The sequence below is a fragment of the Homo sapiens genome, chromosome 11 (genome assembly GCF_000001405.40).
Source record: "Homo sapiens chromosome 11, GRCh38.p14 Primary Assembly".
NCBI lineage: Eukaryota > Metazoa > Chordata > Mammalia > Primates > Hominidae > Homo > Homo sapiens.
In genome coordinates this window covers 103,145,412-103,168,010 of record NC_000011.10, presented here as the reverse complement: position 1 = coordinate 103,168,010, position 22,599 = coordinate 103,145,412, and the positions used below count along the sequence as shown (strand labels likewise).

At 33.2% G+C, this 22,599-nt stretch overlaps 1 protein-coding gene across 6 annotated transcripts in view; it reads right to left on the bottom strand.

Moving 5' to 3' along the window:
- DYNC2H1 (dynein cytoplasmic 2 heavy chain 1) overlaps positions 1 to 22,599 on the bottom strand; it is a 370,438-nt gene that overhangs the window by 311,853 nt on the left and 35,986 nt on the right. For all 6 annotated transcript variants that reach the window (NM_001080463.2, NM_001377.3, XM_017018291.2 and 3 more), the window contains 13 exons: positions 20,124 to 20,239; positions 19,394 to 19,521; positions 15,726 to 15,875; positions 14,503 to 14,708; positions 13,405 to 13,560; positions 13,202 to 13,316; positions 12,510 to 12,680; positions 11,241 to 11,623; positions 9,202 to 9,334; positions 8,984 to 9,101; positions 6,967 to 7,079; positions 4,864 to 4,983; positions 1,963 to 2,113 (listed from right to left, as the gene is read on the bottom strand). In NM_001080463.2, the coding sequence (NP_001073932.1) occupies positions 1,963 to 2,113; positions 4,864 to 4,983; positions 6,967 to 7,079; positions 8,984 to 9,101; positions 9,202 to 9,334; positions 11,241 to 11,623; positions 12,510 to 12,680; positions 13,202 to 13,316; positions 13,405 to 13,560; positions 14,503 to 14,708; positions 15,726 to 15,875; positions 19,394 to 19,521; positions 20,124 to 20,239 (2,060 nt within the window). The remainder of the gene's footprint in view (positions 1 to 1,962; positions 2,114 to 4,863; positions 4,984 to 6,966; positions 7,080 to 8,983; positions 9,102 to 9,201; positions 9,335 to 11,240; positions 11,624 to 12,509; positions 12,681 to 13,201; positions 13,317 to 13,404; positions 13,561 to 14,502; positions 14,709 to 15,725; positions 15,876 to 19,393; positions 19,522 to 20,123; positions 20,240 to 22,599) is intronic.

The window sequence follows — 22,599 nt, the reverse complement described above, 5'->3', positions numbered from 1 at the left end:
AAAATAACCCCATAAACTTCTTTAGGAACTCCTGGACTCATTCCCAAGGTGTGGTGCATGAATAGATCTCATTCTAATCAGAAACCAAAGACTGGAATTGGCTACGAGGGAACACATGTGGGACAGACTGAAATAGCACTGCAAAGATTTGAAAACAGACTGACACCAGAACCATAACCCACAGAAAGCTGGCTAGAACTTGGAATCTGAACCCAACAGGATCAGTTACTAAAACAAAAATATCAATGTTCTCCAGAGGATTTAAACAAAACCCAAACCCTCATAACATAATATTCAAAATATCCATGGTATCATCCAAAATTATTCAACATGCAAAGAACCAAGAAAATCTCAATTCACATAAGAAAAGACAATAATAAGTACCAGTATCTAGATGACATACCTGTTGAGGTTATCTGCAAAAGACTTTAAAGTACTATTATTGCCGGGCAAAGAGGCTCATGCCTGTAATCCCACCACTTTGGGAGGCCGAGGCAGGAGGACTGCTTGAGCCCAGGAGTTTGAAACCAGCCCGGGCAACATGGCAAAACCATGTCTCTACAAAAAATAAAAAAGTCAGCCAGCCATGATGACACATGTCTGTAATCTCAGCTACCCAGGAGGCTGAGGTGGGAAAATTGCTTGAGCTCAGGAGGTCAAGGCTGCAGTGAGCCACAGTCTCACCACTGCACTCCAGCCTGGATAACAGAGCAAGAACCTGTCCCCGCCCTCCAAAAAAAAAAAATACTTTAAAGCCCTATTATAAAAGTGCTCTAAGAAGTACAAGAAGTAAAAGGTGAAGACTTTTGAAACAAGTGGAAAGACAGAATATCTCAGCAAAGGAATAAAAAATATAAATAAATAGAAATTTTAAAGCTGAAAAATTCTTTGAAAATCACTGAATGGACTTAATATTGAAATGGAAATAATAAAGGAAAGAGGCAGTGAACTTGAAGACAGAGCAGTAGAAATTATGCAGGCTAATAAAGAGGAAAAATCAAAAAAAAAAAAAAAAAAAAAGGCAGCGCCTCAGAGATCCAAACCCATGCCAAAAGGTCTAACATCCATGTCATGAGAAACTCAGAATATAGGAGAAAGAGTATAATACAGGAAGAATGTTTGAAGAAATAAGAGCCAAAAGCTTCCCAGATTTTGGTGAAAAACAAATGTACAGATTGAAGCTGAGACAACCCCAAAGAGAATAAATGCAAAGATGTGTCTATATCATAATCAAACTACTGAAAACTAAAGAATATGAGAAAATCTTGAATGCTGCCAGAAAAAAAAAGTAATGTATTACTTATAGAAGAATAACAACTCAAATGACTGTGGATTCCTCATCAGAAAACATATAGCTCAGATGGAAGTAGAACACTTTAAATGCTAAAAGAAAAGAATTGTTAACCCAGGATAGCCAGTGAAAAATTCTTCAGAAATAAAGGTAAAATAAGACATTCTTGGATGAAGGAAATCTATGTGAATTCAGAGTTAGGACACCTTCTCCAAAAGAAACACTAAAAGAAGTTCTTTAGACAGAAGGAAAATGACACCAGAAGGAAACCTGGAACATCAGGAATAAAGGAAGGGCAACAAATGGTAAACATCTAGGTATATATAAAAGATTGTTCTCCTCGAGTTTTTTCAAATAACTTTGATGGTTAAAAGCAAAATTTATAACATAATCTCATGGAGTTTTCAGTGTATGTAAATGTAAAATATTAAGACAACTACAATATTAAAAGGAGAGGATAAAGAAGCCTATATGGTAGTAAGGTTTCTATATTCTATTTAAATTAGTAAATTACTGATTCAAAGTACATTATAAAAATTTAAGTATATATGTTGTAATTCCTCGAGTAATCACCAACACAGATATACAGTCAAAAACACAATAGGTAAATTAGGATAGAATACCAAAAAATAACCCAAAACCAGGCAGAAAAGGGAATGTCTTTTCCATACCAGTATTCCCTGGATCCTCAGAACTTGTATCAATGTTAGTATATTGCTCTAACTTATTCACCAGTTGTGTTTCAATCTGATGAAGACTATGATCTTTAATAGCATTTTCTACATCTTCAGTGAATTTAATCTGCTCCGCCAAGCATAAAATCTATTGAATAAAGAGAAAAATTATTTTTAAAAGGTGAATTTACTTAGAAATATTTTATAAATTTAAAGAAAGGCACCTTTTTTCAAATAGCCAATTGTATATTGGATCTCTCCATCTTAATGTCATACTGGAACCTTAAATATTAATAGAGTAATATAGTAGTAGAAAAAGTATTGTGTGATGCAGCCAAGCCTACTTCACAGAACTCATTTCATACTATACTCTACTACAAACCTATTTTTCTGGTCCTATAACCCACTATGTTTATTGTAACCTCAAAGCCTTTGTATTTTCTTCCCCTCTCTTCAGAAATGGCTTCTTTTCAACCAGTAAACTACAAAGATATCAAAGTATGATGCATTCTAATTAATAAAAGGGCAATCTTTAGCATTTCAAAATAATTTCTTAGTATAGTACTGAAGTCTACGATAGCAAAATTCCAGTATTCTCCTAAACTAAGATCTGCCTTGGCCGGGTGCGGTGGCTCACGCCTGTAATCCCAGAACTTTGGAAGGCTGAGGTGGGTGGATCACTTGAGGCCAGGAGTTCAAGACCAGCCTGGTTAACATGGAGAAACCCCGTCTCTACTGAAAAATACAAAAATTAGCCAGGTATGGTGGCACATGCCTGTAATTCTAGCTACTTAGGAGGCTGAAGCACGAGAATCGCTTGAGCCTGAGAGGGGGAGGTTGCAGTGAGCTGAGATCGCACCACTGCACTCCACATGAGAGCAGGCTAAGCTGCTGTCTTACTGCAACTTAAAACATTCTGTAAATATTACATTATGGTTCTTTTATGGAAAAGAAAGCCAACTAGTAACTCATTTCTAAGCAAATTCATCGCCCAAACAAACTTTGTGGTATGAAACTCATCAGTTTCTTTAATCAGGTATATGATGAGGTATTTATGGAGAACCAAATCTGCTTTTGAGAAAAATACTTTGCTCTTTGATTTTCATATAAAAATGTTCCTTTGCTACCTTCAAGCCTAATCCTAGGCAATGCTACTGAATTTCTATATTATAAATACATATCAATAAACTTAATTTTTTACAGTCTGCTGTGTAATTTCTGTGAATGGCTAACAAAAGTTAGAGTTAAGTTACAGTCCTGGGTTATAAAATCGCATTACTGTTAAGACAGCTGGATAGGAACTAATATTATGAATTACCTAAAATGTAATGACAATTAAGTGTGCTCTGCAAACATTATGAAATAACCTTCAAAATGACTTGATAACGTAGGTACTTGAAGGTCATGTAAATAATGTAAGTGTCAAAATGTTCTACTCAGGATAACTAGCAAAGATTAATATTTAAACCAAAGTCAGATTCTTTCTACTTTACCACACTGCCTCCTTCCCATACCAAAAAAGTACCCTCTCTACCATTATTTCAGGTCCATATAAAAAAAGTAACTGAATTATCAGTACATAATAGCCAATTATGCTACTCAATTCCCTTATGTAAATACTCTTGAGATCAATATTTCTTAGCATTAAATGCTAATAAACTAGAATTCTTTATTTTAGTAGATAATGAACTATTTACATTTTTAGTAGTTCACACTTTTACCTGACTGCTCAAGGGCCTGGAGGTAAGTTGCAGGCTGAAATCCAACAACTTTCTCTAGCCTATTACCTCCCACTATATCTCCCAACACAATTGTCATTTCCCTAACCCAAATATTATACAATATTGCTTTTGTAGACTTTTTGTATACTGTGTCTTTTATTCTAAGTTGATTTATAAATCCTATCTGGAAGTTGACAGAGTACTAGGAAACATTTTCAGTGGTAATAAAGCAGTCTACTCTGGTTCTACAATGGCTTTGGTTATTCAGTGATGATTACTTATATTTTTCTCTAAGAATTTGAGCTTTTTTGAAACATTTCAGTTTGCCTTAAAATGAAAAAAGATACAAATGGCATGTATGAGAAAATGGTTCAGAATGTAAACTGTTCCAAGCTTCCATACTTACAGAAAATCAACATAAAAACCTGTTCCAATAGCCACTACATTTTTTTTTATTTGAAAAGCAAATAACTTTGAGAGCTGCTGGGTAGATTTTTCTGTAAGAAATCATGAAACATCCCAATGTCTACCATCCACAGTCCCTAAGAACTAAAGTTCCTGATGACCTACACCTGTAACAGTCTGGCCCAACTATTAAACAACGCAGGATGTTTAACACAAGTCTTAGTGCTACATTTTGATATAGACTGGTACAAATTTTGTAAGCTAAATATCTAGTACCCAGTGTTCAGGGATGAACTCCTATTAACCCTGAGCTGCAGCCATCTCTGTAATTCACCATATGACCTCACTCTCACTGTCAATATTACAGTTTAGTGTTATGACTATTTCAGATTTACACTAATACCTGCTAAGTTCCTGCCAGCTCCAATGCTTAGATGATCCCATGGGAGGGATGGACGGGTAGGGGACAACAGTGTTATAGATCCTGTGATTCTCCATCAATGATGAACTAATCATCTGGAACCAGGAAGCTATTAGATGCCTGATTCCCTCCTCCCCATCCTACTCACCACTGGCCTAGGTTGCTTGGATCTCAATTCATCCCCCACATTTTACAGCTGAAGGAACTGAGACTCAGAAGTTAAGCAATTTGTCCGTTAACTGTTAGATAAAGGGAGAAAACAGATGCGATTTATCTGAGCCTCCTGGCTTCTAGGTCAGGGATCTTTCCACGTTCCATGCCTATGTAGCTTCTACACGTAAGCCCCCTTACCTGTGAAGGGAACAGAGATGGGTCAACTGCACCTTGAGAACTTCGCCCAGTAGTAACACATTCCTTCAACAACTGTTCCAAAGTTTTCTTCATTTCTAAGGCCAAATCATTCAACCATGTCTGAAAAAGAAATTGGAAAATAATATAAACAAGACATAAAATAAACTGGAAAATAATATATATAAGACATAAAATAAATATACAATCTACTAACTCTATACTGTTATTTCAAGACGGGGTATTATACTTTCCTATTGATCATTACACTCCTAAAATGTGTTATAGGAATATAATTCTTTATTTTCTTAATAAACAGTTTAAATAATTTGAATAAAACAATTTTTTCACCTCTTAGGATAATGATGAGTGTGAAAACATAAATTTGTGGCTAACACTACCATGACTATATCTATACAAGCCAATATAATATGAGCATTTAAAAGTCGACCCATTCACTTCATCATTATGATGAATCAAACCAGATAGTTTGGCCAATAAATCAGGGTCAAAATGGCTGGCTAAGTTCCTGGCTCATGCCATCCTGATGATCTTATATTCATAAAGTCGTAACCATAGGAAGGGATTGCTTCATCAGGATGAAATGTATTATTTGGGGGCTTAGATTGCTTCATCCAACAAAACTAATTTTGTTTCAAAGTGAAAAAAAATGTATTTTTCCACTCACTTGATTATATATAAAATAATAAAAAGTTAAAATAACAATGATTGATAAACAATGAATATTTATGAATCACTTCTTAACCTTAAAAATATATCATTTGTAATAAAAAGGCAAAAGCTGCAATCTTAGCCTCTCATCATTGCGTACTTAAATAACTCTGTGTTCCAGCTTTTTTTTTCAATCTGTAGAGCATTCTCCAGTATTGAAAATAGCATCAAAATTCACTGAAGCTAGAGTGAGAATCTGCCTCTCAGTGCATGGCAACAGACACATCTACTCTGCTAACAATCATAAAGCTTCCAGAGTTTCAACTTTTCCTTTGCTGGTATACCTGCTCTAGCCCAGTTGCTAAAATTTAAGCTCTGTCCCTCTGTGTATATCCAACAAAACTACAAGAGAGGAAAAAAAACAAAACTCTTAACCAAATATGATTAGCAAATCTCCCAGGTTTTCAATCAACTGATTTATGTACTCAATATCCAATAAAATGTTGCAACCTAACCAGGAATAAACATTTTGCTAGGCTGTATGGACATGCACATGGTAAGGCATGGGCCCTGGCTTCCAGGTGGAAGATAATTTGAAATTGAAAAGTTACAATTCCATGTGATGCAATCTATTGCTAGTTAGTTTTAGCTATATGCCTATAATAGGCCTTTGATCAGTTTACTTCCAGTCCTGCAGAACCAGTTAATCAATAGTTGTTCGCTTACTTGTTCACCCAAATCATCTTATACAAATTCATATTTTAAAGAGTAAAGACAACTAAAATGTATTGAGTACCATGTTCCAAGCACTAAATAGTGTACTTAAAGCCAATTATCTCATTTAATTTTTAATTGAAAGTCTTTGCAACAGTTACAGGTTGAACATCCCTAATCCGAAAATCCAAAATCCAAAATCCTCCAAAATCTAAAACTTTTTGAGGTTGACATGATGCTCAAAGGAAACACTTATTGGAGCATTTTGGATTTTCACATTAGGGATGCTGAACTGACATAATGCAAATAGTCCAAAATCTAACAAAATCTGAAATCTGAAACACTTCTGGTCCCAAATACTTTGGATAAGACATACTCCACCTGTACTGAGATTACCATTTTACTGATTAGAAAAACAACACTGTAAGTCACATAGCTATTAAGTTGTGGAGCTAAGATTAATATCTAAGATTTTTTACTCCAAGGCCAAGGTTCTTTTCATAATTACAGGCTGCCTTCCAAAGACTACAAATCCATATTCTTTTTAATATCAAAATACTCCGAAACTAACAAAACAAATCATTTTTAAGATATGAGCTGAGTTTCCTAAAATACCTAAATTAACCAACTTTACCCTCTAAATTGACTAAATTATTTTAGACACAAAGTTCATATATAGTTAATTCTTTTTGTTTTCATATTTGAAAAAGAATTGCTTACCTCTACATTATTTGATAGAGGAACTTTATTTTTAAAAGGTACAACTTCTCCCTCTAAAGATTTCATTGCAGTTATATGTTTTGATTTCTCATCAAAGCAAACACTGTTAATACCTGAAATATAAAAGCAATGATTGAATTGCAAAAGGATTAAAGACATAATTATTAGATACAATATGTGTCACATAGTGTTAATATATACCCTAAAACATATATAATAATCAAATTATAATGTATACCACATAATATATAGTGCTCCTAGTGTTTAAATGTCCTATTGAGGGAAAAAAATCACTTTCTGAATCAATATTCTTATCACTCATCTGAAATATTTCTTATCAATATCTATCTATATGTGACAGGATTCACTGGTGAAATTTGTGAATGTTTATTTAGATATTTCTATATATGTTTGTTTATTCATTCCTACCATTTTCCAGAATAAAAAATTTAGGCAACCTAATCAACTACTACGTACCAATCAGTAAGAATTGTCCTAACTCACATTCTTGGGGGAGTGAAAAATGTTATAACCTCTTTGGAAAATGATTTGGCAGTTTCTAAAAAAGTTAAACATATATTTACTATATGACTTAGCAATTCCAAAACTAGGTGTTTATCCAATACAAATAAAAATGTATGTCTACAAAAAGACTTGTATGATTGTTTACAACAGCTTTATTCGTAATAGCCAAAAACTGGAAATAACCCAAATGCCCATGAACAGGTAAATGTGTTGAAGGCAAATAAGACTTCCCTTTCCCCCAAATTTGCATATTACTTTATAGTATATAAAAAACTTGAATATATTATGTCATTTTGATCTTCACAAAAAAACTATATTATTATTTGCAATATAAAGAAAAAACTAAATTTCAGAGAGGTAACTTGATAACCAATTAATAAACAATAGAGAAATTGGTTGAATAAAAGGGTTCTGATTGCAAGAGTTTGTTTTCTACTACTTCCCATTGCCCAAATCATAGTTACAAATATAAGCATCCTAAAGCTTCAGATACACAGGAATTGATGAATATTTCTGTACAGGACCAGAGAGTAAATATTTTAAGTCTAATGGACCATATGGTCAGTGTCAACTACTCAACTCTGCATTCATAGCATGAAAGGTATAGACAACAATACATAAACTACCGTGCAGGATTATGTTTCAACAAAACTTTACTTAAAAACAACAAGTAGTGAGCCAGATTTTGGCCCATGGGTTATATTTTGCTGATCCTTGATTATTAGTTAAAATGATGAAAATTATTTTACTTCATAAATTTAATTTGAAAAATACAGCTCTTTTCTATAGAGCTGTTTGCTCTATAGAAGAAGTCATTTGCTTGCGCTTTCCAAGTAAATTAAGTATTTTAAGAAAATAATAGTCATTATTTTGGTAATAAACCTATTCCATTTGCCACTAATAAGTATCCCATTAAAGTGACTCTACAACATCAAAGCATTTGACATTACAGTTTTCCCCCAAGTAATCTCACCTGTTCCCATAGCTTACTATTATTTCTATATGGATGACTCCTACATTCTCACCTAGGTCTCTTCACTGACAATAACTGCCTATGGAGTATCTCCACCTGTATGTCATTCAGGACACCTTAAACTCTATAAGGAAGAGGCATATTCTCCTTCACTACAGGCCTTTGCACAGCCTATACCCACTGCCTGCCTGCCTTTTTCTAACTAAGGCCTATACATTCTTCAGATATCGCCCTAGATGTCACTTACTTCATGATGCCCTAAAACTGAGCTAAATGCCCTCACAGATGGACCTATAGCACCACATACTTATGTCAATCACCAGAATTGTCACACTGTATTATATTTGTCAACTTACAACCTTGTCTCTCCCATTAAACTGTACATTCTTTGGGTACAGGAACTGTATTTGGGTATATGAACTGACTGCTGTATTCAGTAGTCTACCTAAGAGCATAATATTAGGCCTGGCAGACAGTTGAAACTCAATAAATATCTGTTAAATAAATGTTGAATCCTACCAGCAAAAAGCTTCTTCAGGTGAGACTGAATCACTGATGGGTTGGTAGACTGGCCCAATATTTCTAATAAGTCATCATCACCAATAAAATAAAATCTTGGGAATGCTGAGCGTTTTTCCTAATAAAAATAGAAACAAAAAATAGCTTTCTTTTTTTCAGATAATTAAGATATCAAGTACTTTACAATTTATTATATATTTTTTTCTTAAAAAACATGCCTCCAAAAATTCATTTAATGATTTCTGACATCTTTGAAGCTGATCAAGTATTGTTAGTAGAGAATTTCTTATTCCAGCATGAGTAGTTAATGTTGTGACTCTATTGTCTTTCTTGATATCAGTCATTATTGATCTACAAAAGAAAAAAAAGTATCTTCACATCTACTTTAACAATTTGGGGGGGTAAGAAAAACAGATTAAGACTTTTTTTACCTGCTTAAAATGAACTAAAGGTAACACTATTATAACAGTATTACACCTCTAGGAATGTTAAATATTAATATCACACTATCATTTTTAACTTCTTATATTTTAAATTATCTTATATATTTCATTTGCTAAGCTAATTTTTTTATTTTTTGAGATGGAGTCTCGCTCTGTCTCCCAGGCTGGAGTGCAGTGGCGCAATCTCTGCTCACTGCAAACTCCGCCTCCTGGGTTCCTGACATTCACCTGCCTCAGCCTCCCAAGTAGCTGGGAATACAGGCACCCGCCACCGCGCCTAGCTAATTTTTTTGTATATTTTAGTAGAGACGGGGTTTCACCGTGTTAGCCACGATGGTCTCGATCTCCTGACCTCGTGATCCGCCCGCCTCGGCCTCCCAAAGTGCTGGGATTACAGGCGTGAGCCACCATGCCCAGCCTTGCTAAGCTAATTTTAAGCCCTACCTCATAGAGCTAATGGTCCAGTGACAGCAAAAGACATCAAATAATTTCTAGAAATATTTAAATAAAATTGTGATAAATGTTAAAAAGGAAAAGTAAAGTATTGTTAAAATGGCTAACAGGGCAACCCATAACCTAGGACTTCTTTAAGGAAGTAATTTAAATTGATATGCAGATGAAGAATAAAATGAAAAAGTGAGTGAGTAGAAGACGTTTCTGGCAAAGATTCTGGGAAGAAGATAGGTATGACCGAGAAACTAAAAGCTAGAGTCACTAAAGCAAAATGGAGAGCAGCACAAGAAAAGGATAGAGAAATGAACAAGGAGCAGATCATGCTTTATCCCTAGCACAATGGGAAACTATTTTAAAGTTTTATTTACAGGAGTAAAAGAAAGTGCTGAACCTGCATTTTTAAACAATTACTCTGGCTGTTGTGTGAAAAACTTATATTATACAAGAGCAAGTCAGAAGGTTAATGTGCGTAGTCCAAGTAAGAGATACAGAACATTAGAATAGAAGTACAGATATACTTCTGTACAGGTATTTGGCTCAAGATATACTAAGCAGGTTAGAATCAACAAAATTTGGCAACTTAATGTATGTAAAAGTGGAGGAAGAGGGAGATATCAAAGTTATCCATCATGTCTCTGCTTTCAGCAATTAGGTTGGGCCATTTATTGAAATAGGAATCAGAAAGAAGAAAGATTTGTTGGAAAGGAACTGGTAAATTAAGCTCATGGATTCAGTTTTAGCCTACTATTTGAGCATGTTTGGTAGATTTGGAGCTCAGAAGAGAAATATGGGCTGTACATGTAAGTTGAGGAGACCTCAGCATATAAAAGAGAACTGATGCTGGCAGTGGTTAAGATTACCTGAGAATACAGTGAGAAAAAAATCGAAGGCTGAGGCCTGGAGAATGACTACATCTAAAGATTTGGAGACAGCTAAGGACTAGGAACTATGTGTTGAACTAGAGAGACAGTCAGAAAACCAAGAGAGGACGAAATCACAGAAGCCAATGGAAGAGACTTTCTAAGAAAGAAGAAATGCTCAACTCTATTAAATACTAATGAGAGATAAAGTAAAATAAAAATTGAAAATGCCTTTTGAATTTAAAAGAGAAAGTAATTAGTGATTTTATGAAGTATGTATTATTAGGTAGAGTGGTAATAACAGAGACCACACCATAATGGTTCAAGAAGTAAATGCTTGAATGAGAGAATAGCTTCTCAAAAGGATCCACTAGGAAAGAATTTGAATACACAGAGGATACCAATCATGTAAAAGTAATTTGCCTGTATTAAGCACTTCACAATATGAATTAATTTAAAAAAAATACCATATGTGTCTATGTCTTACATCATTGTACTGACCTAAAATCTTCATCAACTCTGTTGAAGCGTGTCTGTTCTTTTGGCAATGCTCCACGGCCGAAAATGGGTTCCAAATACACCCACTTTCTCTGAATATGATTTAAATTCTGCAGGTATTCATCTAACTCTGCAAGTTTTCTTTCCCAAATTGATACTTTATCTTCAAATCCTTTATAATAAGGAGAATCCTTTAAGGATTGGAGAAGGCATCTATTATCTCCAACCTGATTTACTATATCTTTCCAGTCTTTAATCAGCTTCATAGTTCGACTTTGGCTGTCTTCATAATCAATTAATGTAAACACTGCTCCAACTCCCCAAAGATCAAGTTCACGTAAAGCTTCTCTGATTGTAACTTCACCTTGTGCCCGACTATTTAAATCCTATTTAACACAAAATATCCATGTTTATTACTTCAACATTAATTTTCACATAAGTAATTAATAGAAAAGTATTTTATGAAAAATATATTTTATCTGGCTTTTCACCATAAGGCAAAAAAAAAAAAGTTAAGTGGCTCTATTTTACATGCAACTCAAGAAAATTACTGGTTATTTTATCAAAGCATGTAAGATACTAAGTATCCTGGTTCACATGGTCAAAATATATACAAAGTTCTGCCTTATGCTTTTTACCTCTCTAAAAGAAAAGCAAAAAATTAAAGCATCCATCACAAAAGACAAAACTAGTTTGGTTTATTTAAAGTTTTACAGACCAAAAGGCCAATATTTGGAACAAAAGAAATTCAGAAATTATACTGTAATCTTATTGTAGATTCTGATACATCTAAAATGATTAACAATCCACTAGAGTTATCTTCTGCAACAGTCATGCTTCATAACTTCTCAAGATTATTTAAAAACATTCCAGGGTTATTAACAAACACAGAGGTTTATTTCTGGGATAGGAAATAAAACAATTTGATATCAAGAGTCCTTATAATTTTGAACGGCCAGAATGCAACACTAAAAGTCTGTCACTTGTAATAAATTGTGACAACTTTTACTTTTACCTGAGAGCTTTTCTAAAAGTGATTAGCAAACTGATTCTTGGCTTAGCTCTCTGGATTTGTGTATCCTCTAGCTTTTATGTGTAACATATCACATAATTTTTTATGTATTTTATGTAAAATGATTTGTGTTTGTTTACTTTTTGATGAAAGCTGATTCCCTTAAAGGAAGACTTTTTTTGTATTTAAACAAAATATGAAGCAATATTGTATATTAAAAAAGGCCAGACTTATGGGATATTTATAAAAGTGATTCATACTTTAAGGTCGGCAGCTTTGGCTACAATTGTATCAGCTACTCTGAGCAAATCACCAAACAGTAGTTTCTCTAGACTAGTCCCCCTAGGAAGTCCAAGGAGACGAAAAAGGTCAAGCCAGTGATCTGGAGAAAGATGCTCCCCTCTCACATATTTCAAGATAGGAATTACGATCTGTTACAAAAAAAAAAAAGAAAAAGTCATATGTATACACATATACATATATTAGCAAAATGCAAATTAGTATTTACTTTTATGCTTATTAGTTACCAAAATTTTAATTATTCCATTTTCTTGTTTAATAATCTTAAAATCATATTCTTAAACAGAATTGTATAAAGCTTTTGATTAAATGTTGCCATGGACACACACAAATTACCCTTTGTAGTTTAATATATTTTAAAACATGGCATAGACTATTTCTATTTTTATTATTATAGGATAGGACCCATGATGGACTGGAATGTATAAGCACTCTGTTTTTTAACTTTAACATAAATTTCTTATAACTTCTTTCTCATTGGTAGTAGAAATATCAATAATTTCTATGGTTTACTCTGTATTTCCTATTTTCTTCATCAAACGGAATAATTTAATTGAAAAACATATAAAGTAAAATTATATAGTTCAGTCACTACATAAGATGAAAGCTCCAAACATTGTTTTTAATTGGCAAAATAATAAAACAATCTTACTTTATATTTGTCAACCTCTGATTGTAATTTCACTGTCATCACTGAATGTTCTTCAACCTTCCTTAATCTGTCATGCCAGTTCATCAAAAATTCCTCAAACAGGTATGTCTTAGTCCTATAAAATACCAAAAACACATTGCAAAGATTACATCCAAAAATAAAACAACCAAATTATTAGTCTAAATATTGTTTTTGAATCAAACCGAAAAGTGATCCAGTCTTCATTGGCCATTTCCTGAAATCCTTGTTGAAACTCTTCATAAAAGGCCCAAATTTGGGCACAGCTCTCGATATCTTTAGAGATACTACTTGCCAGGGAGAAATTAGGCTCTTCCAGTCTAAAATGATGGCAATCATCACTATAGAAACAAATATTGAAATATTAAATTTTAAAAACAGAAATATTGATACTGTTAAGTATCATTAAGTTACTTAACTGCAATCCTTGTATGTGTGTACACACACACTTGTGTATGTTTAATAGATATACAATAAGAAACAATAAGAAACTACAATAAGAACATTAAGAAACTACCTATTTACTATGAGAATTTTACTTTACCTACTCATATATGAACTCTATAAATTCATTAATATACATTTTTTCCAAAGAAGTCAAAACTGAGTTGGTAATATAGAGAGATTTATATGTACGTAATACATATTATATATATGTAAATATTCAAGATTGTATAAATCTACAGATTGATCTGGGAAAAGAATACTCTTCTCAGTTGAAAGGGCAAGCTTCTAGAGTATAAGATATCCTTAATCTAATCAGTATAATGCCATTTAGTAATTATGGTAACAAAATTGACTCACTCCACTCATTTATGAAAGCATCTACTTAAATAGAACAAACCTAAAGCAGTGCTCAAATTTAATACTTTATATTATTATAAGCCAACAACTCATTTTTTTCTTTGAAGTTTTTTATTATTACTTATTATGCTAGATTTATTTTTTTCTCAGAGGCACTAAAAGTAATTTTTCTGAAAATTATATATATTTCATTTTTAAATAGGATAAGTTCAAAGAAAGTGACAGTTCTAACCCTGATATAACTTCTAGGTAAATCTATCTTCTAGGCCTTTCTTGAAATTTGCTTTCTCTTAATATCCTTATATAACACAACTATGACTCCTAAGACAACAGTATATGAATGCTTATTATTTGTAGTTTAAAAAGTGATGAAGTTTATGAGGAAAGTTATCAAGATAACAGACATAAGAAAATTACTAGCTTGATATATAAATTGTTTTTTCAAAATAAGCACTATCAATTTTAAAGAAAAAACATACACCAGCTTTTTTCTTGTGACTTCAAGATCATCAAACTCAATTTTTTTCTCTTTTATTAACTTTGCACTTTTATCAAGAGTATTATGTTGGCCAGTTTCAATAACATCATCACCAGGCTTTAGTTGGTCCCAACGAGCTTTAAATTTTTCCAGTTCTTGATAATAGATCTGAAGACGTGATTTCACATTTCCTTTCATCACTTCAATCTATAAGCCAATAAAATTTAAATAATTTAATGCAGAGTAAAATTTCATTTTGGGTTCATACTTTTCTTTCTAATATTTTCTATTTAAAAGTGAAAAAATATCAATGACCAATGTCAACTTTTCAAAGGATGGTTGTTATTTTAATTATTAATTCCAAGTTCAATAAAATAATTCAAACATATAAATTAGACCATAAATTTATAATAACAAGAGATAACATTCAAATAAAATCATTTAAAAATCGTTCATGTGGTTAACCGCACCTAGTACAACTAACAACAAAGGTAAGATAATTTTAAAATGTTTGTTTGATGACTGCTGATTGTTCTACCTGAGTATATAGCTGCTAAATTAAGGAAGGCATTGCCCAGTCTCCCATGCAGCTAAGGACTGGGCCCTAAGGCTAACTTCTGGTTGATAAAATATGAGTGCAGTAGATATGTGCAACTTCCAGGTTGTGTCTTTAAAAGACAGATGCTGCCTTTTTCTCCTTTTCTCTCTCCCAACCCTACTACACAGCAACTGAATAACCCATCCTGGACAATACGCTAGAGATGGTAGACAAAAAGATTGACAAAACCTAGGACCCAGACAAAGTTATGAAGCAGAGGCACCATAGCAGCTTATAGTCTAATGTGAGACAGAAACATAAGCTACAATTTTTGGGGTCTCCATTAGAGTAGTTAAACTGATATCCTAATAAATTTAGTAATTAAAGAAAACATGAGTTTCAGCAATAAGCCATACATAGTAGGTAAGCAACAGATTCATTCACAGGCCTACAAATAATGTTACATTTCAAAGACATTGGTTTCTTCTTGGTGTGATAGGAAGTAAAGAAAAACCATGTGAAACAATCATCATTTATATATTTCACTATAAAAGTAGTCAGGGAGGTCAATTTCAACAGCCACATTAAATTATTATAAACCTGGGCTATAAAGGAATAAAAGATAAGCAAGAAATCTTAAGTAAGAAAAAAGTTCCCATTTTAATAAATAATTAAAAGATTCTAACCTGGTCTTTAATCATAAGTTGGTGACTTTCCATCATTAACTCAAATTTATCCCACTTGGCTTTCAAATTACTAATTGTTTCTAAACCTCCACCAGCCACAGTTCGTAAAAGTCTGTTTTTGTCTTCAGCTTCTTGAAATAAGGGCAAAATCTAAAGGTTAAAAAAAAAAAAACAAATTGAATAACAACCTATTTTATCAAATCTCTTAAGATTTCATTTATTTTAATTTTTGTTTCATAACTTTATTTTTTAAATTAAGATTTTTGCATTTAAACAGTTTGTTAAATTCCTATATATTCTGATTTGGCAGAAAAAAATTCCTGGATATAAACTTTCTGATGGTTATTTTTTACTATACACAAATTCAACTAAGGCACTCTAACATCAGAGGTTAAAAAAGATAAAGTAGTAATATGAGACTAAATGAAATCCATAAAGATAATACTACAGTTTATCAAAGTAAAGTTCTTATTATAAATGGTCCATTCACAAGAAAATGCTAAAGAGGTTTCTAAAGGAGCTAAAATTAGTGATTATCTAAGAGCATAAGTTAACTAAATTATCCGACTTAATAGAGAAGGAAAGTCATGAAAAAAGGTACTTAAGAAACAGACAACTAAAGAAGTGAAATTAAGCTCATGCATTCAGGGTTTTTAACTGAAGTGCCCTAAGTTGTATATAGCTAACAGTTTGTTAAACAGTTTGGGTGTAGGTCAATGGGTGCTAAACTGCTGGAATTGCCTCTAAGGCTTTTAAAGCTCTGTAAAACAACAGTATCCTATAATTAATATCTGTACTTTTACTATTCAATAAAGCAATAAAATCCATTTAAACATTTTTAAATATCAGTATGCATATATAATAAAACAGACAACAAAGGAAATTCAAATATAACTGAATTGGGCAGGCCTGGCAGCTCACACCTGTAATCCTAGCACTTTGGGAGGCCGAGGCGAGGGGATTAAGATTAACCTAAGCAACATAGTGAGAACGCATCTCTAAAAAAATATATTTTAAAAATTAACTGGGCATGGTGGTGCACACCTGTACTCCTAGCTACTGAGGAGGCTGAAGCAGGAACACTGCTTGAGCCCAGGAGTTTGAGGCTGCAGTGAACTATGATTGGACACCTCAGGATTTTAATTTTCTACACGTGAACGGAACTCCAGTTAGCCTGTAAAACATATCACAATAGTTTCCTAGTCTACCTACCTCCAGTCCTACCCCTCAAATCCACATACCAACAAATAGACATACCAAAAGAGAATTATATAATACTTTGCTATATAAAATCCAGCAACAGCTCCCCAGTGCCCACAGAATATGAGATTCTAAGGTCCCTGATATGGCTCACATGAAGATTCTGCCTAGTTCTTTTATTATCTCATGTCACTTCCTACCTCACATATTTCCTCTTATAATACCTAATTGCTTGCTGTTCCCAGCAAACAACATCAATCTCTCCTTTAGCTTTTGTGACACTACAATCTCTTGTCTTTCCTCCCACTCCATTTATGTCCTTTGCTCCTCATCCTATGCTTGAAGTCTAAATTTTGCAAAGTTCAAGCCTGGTCTTACACCCTTTGTTTATTATCTACCAGTTGGTCTAAGCCAATCCCAAGGCTTAAGTATCATAGATAGAAAGAAGACTTCAAAATTTGTATTTGTAGTCCTTACCTTTACTCTAAATTCCACATCCTCATTTGATTTCTACCAGACAACTCAGTCTCCACCACTTCTAAACTCCAGTTGCTCCTCTAGTCATCCCTATTTCAGGAAATGGCACCAATATTTTCCCAGCTGCTCAAGCCAAACTCCTAAGAGACATTTTGATTTATCTTCCTCTAACCACACCCACCCCTATACATCATCAATCAGTGGAGATATAGTTCTATCTCCACTACCACTACATGATACAAGCTTCCATCATCTCTTGTCTATCATATTGTAATATCCTACTAACTGGCCTGTCCACCACTATTGTCTCCCTCCAATTCATTTTCCACAGAGCATCTAGAGTCATCACTTCAAAATGTCAGAGACATTGTGTCACTCCACCACTTAAAGCCCTCTAAAGACTTTCTTATTACACTCAGAATAAAATACGAACTTCTTACAATTTCTAAAAGCATCTTCGTAATCTGGCCCTTGCCTCTCTTTCCAATTGCACCTCATACCATTCTCTTCCTTGAATACTATGCTCTTTTAATAATTAACTCTCTTGATACTGTTTACATCTATCTGTTCCTTAAGCATACCAAGCTCCTTCTCTACCTTAAGATCTTTGTACATGCTATTCATTGTTTTTGGAATGATCTGTCCCCAAATCTCAGAATGGCTGGCTCTTTCTTATCTTTCAGATCTCAGCTCAAATGTCATCTTTCTGAGAAGATATCCCATGATCACCCACCCTAAGTAATAACCCCTAGTTGAGCATACTCATCCTCACTTCTCTCCTCCCTCTCTCTCTCTCTCTCAATCCTCTTTTGCTCACTCTCTCTCACACACACACACACGCACACACGTGTATGTTCCATGAGAATAGAATATGTTCACAGCTGCATCCCCAACTCCTAGTACAATGCCTGGAATACATCAAGTGATCCATACATATCAGTCAAATGTCTCTGCTAACTGCCACAGCTCATAACCATTCCTATTTTAGTTAATTCCTTCTACTAGACGGATACATTATTTTATTCACCTTTAAACCCTCTTTAATACCTTTAAGTCTATCACATAAAAGTCTGTAATTCTTTCCACTGCAGTGGTATGTTATTTTATTCACCTTGAATCTCTCTTTATAATTTTAAGTGGGGGCACATAAGTTTGTACACTAATTTGAATTATTTCTCCTTCTTGCTCCAAACATAACTAAAATCTCTATAATATGTTATAAAACTTTGGCTTGTCTATTCTGGGCTCTAGCCTTCTGGATAGTTTTTTATGAATCTTTACCATTCTCCTTTGTATTTAATTATGAGCTCTTCCATTATGTATGTATGTGTATATGTGTACTCCTAGTTTAGCTCTTAACTTCATACTTTTGCATCCTAAAGTTATAACTCTAAAGGTAATAGTATGAATTATTTAAGTTTACTCTTACTCTAATATGCCACATCATAAAATAGACTGCAAATAGATCTGAAAACAATACTATTACTGTTTCATTACACCAATAGTGCATCGAAAGTCTATTTATTTATTTATTTACTTATTTATTTATTTCGAGACAGAGTCTCGCTCTGTCACCCAGGCTGGAGTGCAGTGGCACGATCTTGGCTCACTGCAACCTTTGCCTCCCAGGTTCAAGAGATTCTCCTGCCTCAGCCTCCTGAATAGCTGGGATTACAGGCACCCACCACCACAACCGGCTAATTTTTGTATTTTTAACAGATACAGGGTTTGACCATGTTGGTCAGGCTGGTCTTGAACTCCCAACCTCGTGATCTGCCTGCCTCGGCCTCCCAAAGTACTGAGATTACAGGCGTGAGCCACCAGGCCCAGCCAAGAGTCTAATCATGAGCTAACCAGGTAAGCCAGACTATTGTGGACCTCCTTATAATGTTGAGATTATATATTTGTAAATAATGACATAAAATTACCTAATTTAAACATTTTCCATGCAGTAAAAAGTAATAATAATAATTTTACTTTGTGATTCTCACCTCTGGCTTCCGTTCTTGTAACTTACTATATTGTAGATTTGCATCACCAATTTCTTCCACAGACTGGGGCATAATTGTTAAGACTTCCATAGCCTCAGTAACAAATGTATCAATTTCATGTAAATGAGCTGAGTGGTAACATTGAAATACAAGAAATGTTAATTATTACCATCAAAAATACTAAGTTACATAATTTCTAAATCAAGGGGTGGTAGAAGTAATCAGTACATGGAATACAATAAGTTCTAAATTATCATTTGCTTTCATAAAACAAAATTTCAAGATGTGGAATAAGCAAAGAAATTTCTTCCCATGAAAGTTTAGTTGTTTCACGTTGTATTTAAAAATTTTAAGAAAAGCTTAAAATGCATTACTGCATTTTTCGTCTTTTATACAACATACTAAAACATCTCAGTTTTAAAGAAAAAGAAGAAACTGTGGTATTTTGAAAAATACTTTGTCATTTGAGGAGATAAGCAGAAATACATTATATCAGAATTATCTACCTTTCTCAGCTACATATGCAACAATCTAATACTAGCTCAGACTGCAAATAATAAAGATGTCTTCATTAGACCTCCTAATGATTGAATATGGACTTTTCCTGCTTTTTTTAAATTAGTTCAGTTTTGGTTTTTAATGATCATTGAAATTCACATTTTATAACTATCAAAGTACATGCTTCTACATATCAAATTAAGTAAAAATAAAAATTAAAATGTGTATTTACCCTGTATGGACTTCTTCAAAGAAAGAACAAGCAGATCAAATAACTTCTGGATGAGATCATCAATCACAGTCTTCACAGGGTTGCAATTAATATTTAAACAATCTACCTTGACAGCACTGAAAAATGTCAATGGACATATTTTGACATGGAAAAGACTAATTAGAGGAAAAGAGTCTCATATAATATTATAATGATTTCATGTAATACACTTAAAAATGTATGTCAGCAGTAATATGGTGATCTTTAAGCACATTTAGATTTAATTTAGCAAAAATGCCTTATACATACTATTTTGAAGTTTTTCATTGAGCAATAATTTTGTTACAATACTAGAAGTTTAATCATCCAGCATATCAGCTTCAAAAAAAGGTGGTATGTTATGAATTAGTAAAGTGTCAAAAGAATATATTTAAATATTAATGAGCTTCTCTTGTCACAGCATGTAACACACCTATTTAAATATTTATAAAATAAATTTACTATCCTGTAGCCAAAATACAAACAATAAAAATAAGGCAAAATTAAATGTAGATAGAAAGTGAATTTAGATTATTAAAGCACTAAAACAATAAAACGATAAGACACCATTTTACACTTATCAAATTGAAAAAAAATGTAATGAATGGTTACTTTGAATCTTCAATTTTGTGGGCAAACAGAATTCCCAGAACTGTTAGAATATAAAACAATGCAATCTTTGTAAAGAGCAATGTACACGTCAAATAATTTTAAACTGGCATATCCTTTGTCTTAACAACTCTACCTTTAGAATTTATCCTAAGACAAATTTCAAGGCAGGCTCCAAGATTTATACACAAGCATTTTCATGAAAGCACTAACTATAATAGTGAAAAGTTTGAAACAAGATAAATATAGAAATGGCAAAATAAATTTTTATATATACCTATAATTAAAAATCACATTTTTGATGTGCAGATGATAACATGGAAAAATACCGATGAAATAGTATTCCATAAAAATAGCAGAATAGGCCAGGCACAGTGGCCTGTAATCCTAGCACTTTGGGAGGCAGAAGCAGGTGGATCGCCTGAGGTCAGGAGTTCAAAACCAGCCTGGCCCACATGGTGAGACCCCTGTCTCTACTAAAAATATAAAAATTAGCCAGGCATGGTGGCGCACGCCTGTAATCCCAGCTACTCAGGAGGCTGAGGTAGGAGAATTGCTTGAACCCAGAAGGCAGGGGTTGCAGTAAGCCGAGATCACACTACTGCACTCCAGCATGGGTGACAGAGTGAGATTCAGTCTCAAAAAATAAACAAACAAAAAAACAAATAGCAGGATATAATATAATCTACATTTTATAAGTGTATTAATATGTCCAAAACATCAAATATTAACAGGAATTGTCTCTGTACTTCACTACATTTAAAACAATTTATAAAACAAATGTACTATTTTAATAATCAGAAAACAAGTATAAAGTTTTTAAATGAGTAATTATTTCCATTGTACCCCAACGCAAATTGTAATGTCCTAACCAAAGAGAAGCTGATCCAGACTCAGTCATCTGAGGAAAATCTCATATTTATCTTAAATTATACAAAGTTAAAACAAATCTGAAAACTTTGGTCAAAAAGGTTATTCGGAAAGCTATTTGCCTTTCTTAAAGCATAGAGCCAGGTGAGATCCTTAAGAGGCAAATTATATGTTTTAATTACATACCATTTTATTTGAAAATATAATTTTCTTTTAAAGTTTTACTTATTTATTCTCAATCACCTACTAGCTGGATAAGTTTAAACTACAGTTCTTAACAACCAAAAGCTATATATAACAGCCAATTTTCTTGACACATGAAGTTATAAAATTTCTGAAATCCTGACACGTAAAGACTCATGATTTATGATACTTGATACATGAAGATATGTGATTTTGGTAAACCTAAAAGGTTATATTATACTGTATTTTGCTAATGAATTAACATAAAGTGATCTAATTACAGCAAAGAAGTTTTACTCACTAACTACGGAGTGCTGTGGACAAGGCTAACATTCATCTTTCATTTGAAAATATTCACAATATGAAACTGAGATTCTGTTCAGCCATAGATAGAAATGGAAGATGACTCATTATATATCAAAGATGCATATTCAAAAATGATTTTCTTATGATACTATCTAAAATACATCACTAGAACATAGCTTTTCTAATCTTACAGCATTTCCAAAAAGTACCGATGAAATAAATGTGTATGTTTGTATGTGCATATGTATGTATTCACTTAGATGAATACATGTTAATTTGTTAGCAAGAAATGACAAAATGAAAAATACAGTGTGGGATAGGCATTGTTGTTTTTATTTTTTTTTCTTTTGGCAAGGATCATAAATAGGAAAGCTATCTATAGTAAGGGACAAAAAAATAGTAGAGGAAGCAGTAGAGGTTCTTAGGCAGTCAGGTGACAGCATTAAGTCAAAGAAGATGGGCAAGATTGGGATCAAAGGCAAGGCCCAAC